At 45.7% G+C, this 10,538-nt stretch overlaps 3 annotated features.

The window, feature by feature from the left end:
- Window positions 135-635: an enhancer, noted in NCBI's record as "H3K4me1 hESC enhancer chr22:28142924-28143424 (GRCh37/hg19 assembly coordinates)". NCBI's record gives its function as "activates a minimal SCP1, AML or CMV promoter by ChIP-STARR-seq in naive H9 embryonic stem cells {active_cell/tissue: H9 hESC(naive)}" and the evidence as "EXISTENCE:reporter gene assay evidence [ECO:0000049][PMID:30033119]".
- Window positions 4,153-4,654: an enhancer, noted in NCBI's record as "H3K27ac hESC enhancer chr22:28138905-28139406 (GRCh37/hg19 assembly coordinates)". NCBI's record gives its function as "activates a minimal SCP1, AML or CMV promoter by ChIP-STARR-seq in primed H9 embryonic stem cells {active_cell/tissue: H9 hESC(primed)}" and the evidence as "EXISTENCE:reporter gene assay evidence [ECO:0000049][PMID:30033119]".
- Window positions 4,655-5,155: an enhancer, noted in NCBI's record as "H3K27ac hESC enhancer chr22:28138404-28138904 (GRCh37/hg19 assembly coordinates)". NCBI's record gives its function as "activates a minimal SCP1, AML or CMV promoter by ChIP-STARR-seq in primed H9 embryonic stem cells {active_cell/tissue: H9 hESC(primed)}" and the evidence as "EXISTENCE:reporter gene assay evidence [ECO:0000049][PMID:30033119]".

Raw genomic sequence — 10,538 nt, 5'->3', positions numbered from 1 at the left:
TGCTTCCTCCCCTTACAGCCATGGACCTTGGGCAAGCGGCTTAACTACAGCCCCCAGTTTTTTTGTTTCTTAAGTGGAGCAAGTAACATCTAGCTGGAAGCTCACTGTGAGCACCAGCCCTGTAAAAGGATCGGTTTGCCTATGGGCCACTCTTTGGGCAGTGGCTTCACTCCGGCATCTGCAGCCTCAGACCTGAGGCCACTGCAGACCATTCCTGTCCTTCCCTTTTGCACCTTTACCTCTCAGTGTTTCTCAAAGCATGGTCCACAGAACCCTGGCCGCAGAAACACCTAAGGGCTCTTGTTAACTCCAGATTTCTGGCCTTGTGCTAGACTACTGAATCAGAACCTCTGAACTTGTATTTTACACCTAATTATAACAGGTGCAGTTACCTTCTTTCACAGCCCACAGCAGATCAGAGGGCTAATGTAGGTGGGCGCCCAATGCCAGGTTGGAGCGGGAAGATGAGTCAGAAATGATGGCGGCAGATTGAGAGCTGCAGCGCGGCCATTCAGTGTGGAGGCAAACAGCTTACACGTGTCTCCAATGACTCTACCCTGGAAAACATCACACTAAGGCAGAGTGTGAACAGAAGCTCCCCAGACTGGCATTAAGCTGGTAAAACGTTTAATTACATCCAGGAAATTCCCCATCTCAGGAGCAAAGAACACATTTAGGAAGATTACCTGCCATAGTTACTTTGTCACTGGGGCTGGAATCCTGAGTGGAAAAACCTCTGCAGTCACTGGGTCTCCGGGAGGTAGGCAGTGCACTCTCTCTGAGCCTCAGTTTTCTTGGCTGTAGAGTGGACAGAAAGAGTGTTATGACCCCACAGAGCTGTCTATGGGAAGACTCCTGAGCACAGTGCCAGGCACAGAGGGGAAACAGGCAGTGCCAGCCCCTTTCTGACACCTGGTGACACCTTTCCATTGGCATTTGGTAGGACACATCTTCCAGACCCTCCAGAGTTAGACATGCTGCTTCCACTTCCTGTGACCCATCTACAGGATAGAATGACCATGGAGGAAATTTGCTTCCCTGGGACTGACTCAGAGACCTGGGTTCCCACCCCTCACTGGTAACCAAAGGACACCATACAGATGCAGGCAATTCAAACCATTTCATTCCAACTCAACACATTTATTCAGCTCCTATTATGTGGCAGAAACGGAGGATCCAGGTAATAAAACTGCCATGAATGGAGAGCCACACTCAGTACTAGGCACTTTACAGACTCATATTATCTCATTTAATTCTCACGGCAACCTCATGCTGGGGCAGATTCATCCCATGTCACAGATGAGGCAATAGGCTCAGGGAGATGAAGTGGACAAGGATGAGCAGTCAAAAAGTGGCTTTGAGTCCAGTTGTGATGGAGATCGTGAATCATCCTGCGGGAAATACGGTATAGACGGCGGAATAGGAGTGGATGGACAAGTACGTTGACAATTAAAAGTGAAGGGAATATGCCCAGTAACCCATGGTGGTACAAGACATGGATGCCACTCAGAGATTCATGAACCCCATGTGGGAGGCTTGGAAAAGGCTTTCTCCAGTAAGGCGTGTCCAGAGAGGGTTTTGAAGGATGAATAGGAGTTCATCCTATTCATCCCAGCACATAAATTGAGCCTAATTTTGTAGTTTTATTGTATTTTTTTCTTTCAACTTTTCAAGTTTTCTTCACATAGGTAATGGAATATTTATCAGAATATAAAGTTTTACAGATGAAGCCTCTATAGTCACCTAAATTTGGAGAAGCTTAAAAAATCTCTTTAACCTTTAAAGGTCTCCTGCTCAGAGTGACAGTGGTATATGATCACGATCAGAACCCAAGGAAGGAGAAAGAAGTGTGAAAGAATGATGAGCATTGGGTATGGGCATTTGGGAGACTTCAGGTTGGTGTGAAATGAACAAATGAGTGAAAGAAGGAACTCTCAGAGGGCCTAAGAACCAAAGGACTATGGCACAGACTGGCACATTGTGGGGATTGCACATGACATTGGGGTACATTTTGGCCCTGGGGAGGACCAGGATAGGGGTCTAGCAGTAGGCTGGCCCACCTTGCTGGTGGGGCCTTTCCATACTGACAGAGAAACACCCATCTCACACCTCAGAAAGACTGCCTTCTTCGTCCTGAGTTGACAGTCTGGGGGAACGAGGGGCAGAAGGCAGCCGAGGACCCTGGCCCAGCTTGGATTAGGAGGGTGGTGGCTCTCCTATTCATCCTTCAAAACCCTACCTGGACAGGTCCCATGCATAGTGCATAGAGTATGAGAGAGGTGCACTATCCATCTGTGGCAGATGGATGTTGAGCAAATTCCATTTTTGCAGCCTCAGAGGGGGCCATGTTATCTGAAGAAAGATTCTGGACGAAATACCACAGGAAATTCAAAGTGTGCCTTGGAGAGACACTGCTTTGGGCCTCCATTTTTCTTTTTTTTTTTTTTGTGAGCAACATGGCTGTTTATTTCACCTGGGTGCAGGCGGGCTGAGTCCAAAAAGAGAGTCAGCGAAGGGAGATAAGGGTGGGGCCGTTTTATAGGATTTGGGTAGGTAAAGGAAAATTACAGTCAAAGGGGGTTTGTTCTCTGGTGGGTAGGAGTGGGGGTCGCAAGGTGCTCAGTGGGCAGGAGTGGGGGTCGCAAGGTGCTCAGTGGGGGTGCTTTTTGAGCCAGGATGAGCCAGGAAAAGGACTTTCACAAGGTAATGTCATCAGTTAAGGCAAGGACCGGCCATTTACACTTCTTTTGTGGTGGAATGTCATCAGTTAAGGTGGGGCAGGGCATATTCACTTCTTTTGTGATTCTTCAGTTACTTCAGGCCATCTGGGCCTATATGTGCAAGTCACAGGGGATGCGATGGCTTGGCTTGGGCTCAGAGGCCTGACATTCCTGCCTTCTTATATTAATAAGAAAAATAAAACAAAATAGTGTTGAAGTGTTGGGGCGGCAAAAATTTTTGGGGGGTGATATGGACAGAGAATGGGCGATGTTTCTCAGGGCTGCTTCAAGCGGGATTAGGGTCGGCGTGGGAACCTTCCACTGTGAGAGTTACCCGAAGCTCGGCGTCCGTGATGGTCTGGGGGCTTCCGAGGCGATCGGGCAGTGTCAGTCTTCAGCCGCTAAGCCGAGAAGATCTGGGAAGGAGTCAGTCAGAGAGCCTTGGGCCAGAGTTCCAGGGCCTCTGGGAGTGGCTGCCAGGTGAGTTAAACAGTCCGATTTTCAGTGGGGTCCCGCACAGATGGGACGCGGCTTAGGAGGAATCCTGGGCTGCAGGCATTCCTTGGCCCAGTGGCCAGATTTCCGGCATAGGTAGCAAGCTCCTGTGGGAGGAGGTTCTGGAGGAACGCCTGGCCGCTGCGGTTCAGGCGTTTGGAAGTTCTTGTGTTGCTGGAGATGTGGCTGGGGTTCGTCTCACAGTGGAGGCAAGGAATTGCAACTTTTTTCTATTATTGTACACCTTGAAGGCGAGGTTAATTAAATCCTGTTGTGGGGTTTGAGGGCCGGAATTTAATTTTTGGAGTTTTAATGTCGGGAGCAGATTGGGTAATAAAATGTATTTTGAGAATAAGATGGCCTTTTGACTTTTTAGGGTCTAGGGCTGTAAAGCGTCTCAGGATTGCTGCCAAACAAGCCATGAACTGGGCTGGATTTTTATATTTGATGAAAAAGAGCCTAAACGCTATCTGATTTGGGATAAAGAAAAAGGAGCATTCACCTTGACTATGCCTTTGGCTCCAGCCACCTTTTTAAGAGTAAATTGCTGGGCAGGTGGGGGAGGGCTAGTCAGGGAACGAAACTGTAAGTCGGACCAGGTGTGAGGAGGGGAGGTGATAAAAAGACTATAGGGTGGAGGAGCGGAGGCTGAGGAAGAATTGGGACCTAGCTCAGCCTGGCGAGGAGCAGGCTGGGGAGGAAGGGAGAGGTCAGATGGGTCTGTAGAAAAGGAAGATTAGAAAGACTCAGCGACGCTTGGGGTTGGTACTGAGGGGACAGGGGGGAGGGAAAGAAGATTTGGGACGAGTTGCACTGGGCACAGAGACTAGGACGGGACTGATGTGTAAAAGAATGCCTGGACGTCAGGCACCTCAGACCGTTTGCCTATTTTACGACAAGAATTATTTAGATCTTGCAGGATGGAAAAATTCAAAGTGCCATTTTCTGGCTATTTGGAACTACTGTCGAGTTTGTATTGGGGTCAAGCGGCATTGCAGAAGAAAATAAGGCATTTAGGTTTTAGGTCAGGTGTGAGTTGAAGAGGTTTTAAGTTTTTGAGAACACAGGCTAAGGGAGAAGAAGGAGGAATGGAAGGTGGAAGCTTACCCATAGTGAAGGAGGCAAGCCCAGAGAAAAGAGTAGAGACACGGAGAAAGGGTGGGGGGTTCTTGCCCTCCAGAAAAGCAGAGAAGGGGTTGGGGCACGGAAATAAGGGATTGGGGCACAGAGATAAGAGGTCAGGGTGTGGAAATAAGGGATTGGAGCACAGAGATAAGAGGTTGGGGTGTAGAAATAAGTGACTGGGGGGGTTCTTGCCCCCTAGGAAAGCAGGACTTGCCGCTAAGGGTGAAGGAGAAGGGGTTGAGGGGTACTTGCCCCTGCCCCCTAGGAAAGCGGGACTTGCCGCTGAGGGTGAAGGAGAAGGGGTTGAGGGGTAGTTGCCCCTGCCCCAGGAAAGTGGGACTTGCCACTAAGGGTGAAGGACCAAGGCAGGCGTCCCTGCGTGGTCTGGCACCCTTGAAACGTGAGTGTATAATCAGAGAGGTGTCCCTGCAATGATTAAACACCAAGGGAAGGCTGCCTTCCCAGTCCGTGACCGGTGCCGGAGTTTTGGGTTCACGGATAAAACATGTCTCTTTTGTCTCTACCAGAAAATGAAAGGAATTGAAATTAAGAGAAGGGAGAGATTGAAGTGTGGCGCCAAGATTGAAAGGAGAAAGAGGTTGAGGGATAGTGAGGGAGGTTGGAGAAGAGAGTACAAAGAGGCCGCTTACTGGATTTGAAATTGGTGAGATGTTTCTTGGGCTGGTCGGTCTGAGGACCTGAGGTCGTAGGTGGATGTTTCTCACGGAGCAAAGAGCAGGAGGACAGGGGATTGATCTCCCAAGGGAGGTCTCCCCCGATCCGAGTCACGGCACCAAATTTCATGCGCGGCACCAAATTTCATGCGCGTCCGTGTGAAGAGACCACCAAACAGGCTTTGTGTGAGCAACATGGCTGTTTATTTCACCTGGGTGCAGGCGGGCTGAGTCCGAAAAGAGAGTCAGCCCCATTTTTCTTTCTCTACAGTAGGGTTGCATCATGGTGGTCCCTGAGGTGACAGGGATCTGGTGGCCCAAGGCCCCAGTGACTTTGGACATCTGTGGCCCTATGCCCTCTACTGCAAGTTATCAGAAGCTTCATTCTGAGATCAAGTTGTTTTTAAGGGATTTAGAAGAATAGAGGGCCCTGGTTAGAGATGGGTCAGTCCTTAGGAGGGAAAGGAGAAAAGAGGGGGCAGGGAAGTAATGACATCACTCCCTCTTGAGGCCTAGGAGACATTTTCATGGGGGTTTGCGTAGGGTTTCTTAAAGTCACTCTGGGTTGGGGTCACCTGGGTTGTGTGTGAAGAGAAGAGGGGGCTTTTGGATGTGGTGGGATGCCGGTGGGCCTCAGATTCCTAGGGTGGATGATGAGCATGTCATAGCCCAGGGTCTGGACTGCAGAGCCTTGCCTCTTTGCACCTCAGCTTACTCATCTGTAAAGTGGAGAGAATGTTCACAGTAATGATCACTTCATAGGGAGCTTGTGAGGCTCAAATGAGGGTTTTGCACAGGTCTTGCTGACCGTAAGTGCTCAGTGACTATCAACCCTTTGTAACTTTAGGAATCATGGATTCCTTTGAGCACCTGCCATATGCTGGGCACTGAAGAGGAGGTGATGCAGGCATATGGTAACAGCCCACTAAATGTCTAGACCTATGCTACCCAACATGGTGACCACTAGCCACATGTGGCTCTTGATTGCTTGAAATGTGGTTGGCCCAAACTGAGATGTTTTGTAAGTATAAAATACATGCCAGCTTTCAAAGATTTAGTAGGAAAAACACAAAAGAATTTAAAGTATCTCATTAATTAAAGTTAAAATTTTGTATATTGATTGCATGTTGAAATAATACTTTGGGTATACTTTTAAAATGCTGATAAAATAATCTCACTTCTTTTTCTTACTTTAAAAATGTGCTGTATTCGTTTTTTTGTTGTTTTTTTTTTTTGTTTTTTGTTTTTTGTTTTTGAGACAGAGTCTAGCTAGCTCTGTTGCCCAGGCTGGAGTCCAGTGGTACGATCTCGGCTCACTGTAACCTCGGTTTCTCAGGTTCAAGCGATTCTCCTGCCTCAGCTTCCTGAGTAGCTGGAACTACAGGTGTGTGCCATCAAGCCTGGTTAATTTTTGTATTTTTAATAGAGACAGGGTTTCACCATGTTGGCCAGACTGGTCTTGAACCCCTGACCTCAAGTGATCTGCCTGCCTTGGCCTCCCAAAGTGCTGAAATTACAGGTGTGAGCCAGTGCACTCAGCATAGTTTTCTATTACTACATCACAAATGCCTGCAAACATAGTGGCTTGAAGCAACATCCATTTATCATCTCCTAGTTTCTGTGTTTTGGGAATCCAGGCCTGACATATTCGGGTTCCCTGCTCTGGGACTCACAAGATGACAATCAGGATGTTGGTGGGCTGTGTTCTCATCTGGAGACTCATCTGGGGAATAGTCCATTTCCAGGCTCATCCAAATTGTTGGCAGAATTACACGGGGGCTGTGTAACTGGGGGCCTTAATTTCTTACTGGCTGATAACTGGGGCTGCTTTCAGCTCCCAGACATCCTCAAAGTTCCCTGTTATGTGGGCCATCGGCTGTTCACAGCATGGCTGCTTGCTTCTTCAAAGCAAGCAGGAGAGTCTCTCACTCTAGCCTGCTAAGACAGACTCTTACATAACATAATGTTATCATGGGAGTGACATCCCATCACCTTTTGACATATAAGGCAACTTAATCAGAGGAGTGACATCCCATCACCTTTGCCATATTCTGTCAGTGAGAAATAAATCACTGATTCCACCCACACTTAAGGTGAGAGGATTACACTAGGACATGACTCATGGGGGGTCATCTTAGGGTGTGTACACCTACACATGTGACTACTCAAAAATTCGAATTGGAGTATGATGCATGTGGCTTTTATTTCTATTGGACAATGCTAGTCTAGAGGCTCTATTAAATTGTGCCTTGAGGATTACTCAGCCTCTGATTGGGCAGGGAGAGCAGAGTGGATAAGAGAATGGACTGCCAGGCTCACGTCTATAATCCCAGCTACTGGGGAGGCTGAGGCAGAAGGATTGCTTGAGGCCAGGAATTCAAGACCAGCCTGGGCAACATAGTGAGATCATGTCTACAAAATATATACCAAAAAAACACAAAAAAATCAGCCAAGTATGGTGGTATCCACCTGTGGTTTCAGCTATTTGGGAGGCTGAGGCAGAAGGATCACTTAAGACCAGGTATTGGAGGCTGCAGTGAACTATGATTGTGTCTCTGCACTTCACTCTGGTCTATAGAGCAAGGCCCCATCTCTATAAAAAATTAAAAAAATAGAATGGGCTTTGGATAACTACTGGGCATCCCTGGGCAAGTTACTGCACCTCTCTGAACCTCAGCTCCCTCAGCTATAAGATGAGCTATAAGGGGTGGTGGCATCTACCCCTTGAAAGATCCAAAGAGGTAATGTTTGTAAAGTCTTTCTTAGGCTAATGCCTAGCACTTAGTAGGTGCTCTATAAATTCCCCAATCTGAAACTTGGCTCTGCTGCTTGTTGCTAGGAGGCTGAAGGACTTCACATCTCAGGGCTTCAGTTTCCCCATCTGTGAAATGAAGAAGTCAAACCACGTGATCTCCTAATGCCGTTAGATGCATTCTAAGTGCTTTGGGCAGGGTGAAGGTGGGTAGGGAGTCCAGCGGGGCTGTGTCCGCAGGCTGCAAAAGAGACAATACTCACCCACAAAAGGGAGCAGGAAAATGTAAAGAGGTCACCTAACCAGGCGACAGCCCCAGCGTACCCCAGTGCCTCATAGGAGGGGATGGGAGAGGAGTCAGGTGAACACTCTGTCCTTAGTGAGCTGGAGGAGGTTCAAGGAAGGAAGCTCATCCCAGTTTATTTTTACAAAGATTAGAAAAGGATAGCAAGACCAGAGTGCAGCATGGATTTTCCTAGCTGTCAAGAGTTTCAGCTGGGAGGACTCCACCATGGGGCCACTATGATTGAGCTGAAGAGGAGACAGAGGGTGTGGTAGATGCCAAGCCTTTGCCTCCAGTCTGACCTCACCTGACCTGGAGGTGATTGGGGGTAAGTATTAAATTCTTCAATTATAAATAGGATAAGACTCTAACTCTGCAATGAAAACACAGCCTGATGAGGTGCTCCAGGAATCTTGGAAGAATCTTTCTTTTCTTCCAAAAATGTATGGAAGAAAAAATGTACATAACATGTACATTAAAATGTATGTAACATAAAATTCACCATTTTAATAATTTCAAGTATATAAGTTGGTGGCTTTTTAGTATATTCACAATGTTGTGCAACCATCATTACTATCCAATTCCAGAACATTCTCATCACCCCAAAAAGAAACCCTGTATCAATTACTAGTCACTACCCATTCTCCTGCCCTTCTCCCAGCCCCATGGCAACCAGAAATCTACTTTTTTTTTTTTTTTTGAGACAGAGTCTTGCTCTGTTCCCCAGGCTGGTGTGCAATGGCATGATCTCAGCTTACTGCAACCTCTGCTTCCCGGGTTCAAGCGATTCTCCTGCCTCAGACTCCCGAGTAGCTGGAATTACAGGCATGTGCCACGACACTCGGCTAATTTTTGCATTTTTAGTAGACATGGGGTTTCTCCATGTTGGTCAGGCTGGTCTCAAACTCCTGACCTCAGGTGATCCATCCAGCTCGGCCTCCCAAAGTGCTGGGATTACAGGCATGAGCCACTGCTCCCAGCCTTCTATTTTCTGTCTCTACGATTTTGCTTATTCTGGACATTTCATATAAATGGAATCATATATGTGGTCTTTCATGTCTGACTTCTTTCACTTAGCATAATGTTTTCAAGGTTCATTTAAGTTGTAGCATGTATCGGTACTTCATCCCTTTTTATGGCTGAATACTACTCCATTATATAGATAGACCACCTTTGTTTAGTCGTTCATTAGTGGATGGACATTTGGATTGTTTCTACCTTTTGGCTATTACAAATAATGTTTTCATGAAGATATACAAGTTTTTGTGTGAACATGTGTTTTCAATTCTCTTGGAGTAGAATTATTAGGTTGCACCATAATTCTATGTTTAACTTTTTCAGGAACTGCCACACTCTTTTCTACAGCACTGCACCATTTTACATGTTGCAAGGATTTTTTCCTTTGTTGATTTAACCCAGAACTACCCTCCTTTTTCACATTTTAACAATGGTTTCATTTATATACAATAAAATGCACAGATCTTGTGTATAATTTGATATCTTTTCAAGAATGTATACACCTGTGTAACCTAAACCACTATTGAGATGATATAACATGACAAGCTCCCTAGAAACTTCTCCATTGCTCCTTCCCACTCAGCCCCTCAATCCCCAAAGCAACCAGTGCTCCAGTTTCTATCACTATTGATCAGTTTTGCCTGTTCTTGGGTCTTGAATGTCATATAAATGGGCATGCACTCTTTCGGGTCTGGTTTCTTTCACTCTGTATAATGCTTTTGAGCTTGTGCATATTAGTTGTAATTTGTTCCCTTTTATTGCTGAGTAGTATTTCACTGTATGGACATACCACAGTCTATCCATTCATCTGTTGATACACATTTGAGCTGTTTTCAGTTTTTGGTTACTACGAATAAAACTACTATGAACATTTGTGTACAAGTCTTTGTGTGGACAAAAACTTTATGGACGTACACCATATGAAAATCGAAATCAAAATTTGTCATATAGTTAAACATCTTTCTGAAATGGGTGAGTTACATAAGAGGTATACATTTCACTTCTTCAGACAATGCCAAGCTGTTTTTCAAAGTGGTTGCACCATTTGCATTCCCAACACCAATGTATGAGAGTTCTAGTTTCTTCTCACATCTTTGCTAACATTTGGTTTTGTCTGTCTTTTAAACTTTAGCCATTCTGGTGTGTGCTATCTCATTGAGGTTATAATTTGTATTTCTCTAATGATATTGAGTATCTTTTCATGTGCTTATTTGCTATCCGTATGTCTTCTTTGGTGAAACTTTCTGTTCAAATCTTTTGCCCAATTTTTTTTTATTACCTTGTGTTTGCCTTTTTATTATTGAGTTGTAAAAGTTTCTTTATCTATCCGTTTGTCTTCTTTGGTGAAACTTTCTGTTCAAATCTTTTGCCCAATTTTTTTTTATTACCTTGTGTTTGCCTTTTTATTATTGAGTTGTAAAAGTTTCTTTATCTATTCTGGATACAAGCACCTTCTCTGTGTTACAAATATT

Source organism: Homo sapiens, chromosome 22 (assembly GCF_000001405.40).
Source record: "Homo sapiens chromosome 22, GRCh38.p14 Primary Assembly".
In the NCBI taxonomy this organism is placed as follows: Eukaryota; Metazoa; Chordata; class Mammalia; order Primates; family Hominidae; genus Homo; species Homo sapiens.
Note: the sequence above shows the minus strand (reverse complement) of the source record. Positions and strands in the feature narration are given on the sequence as shown.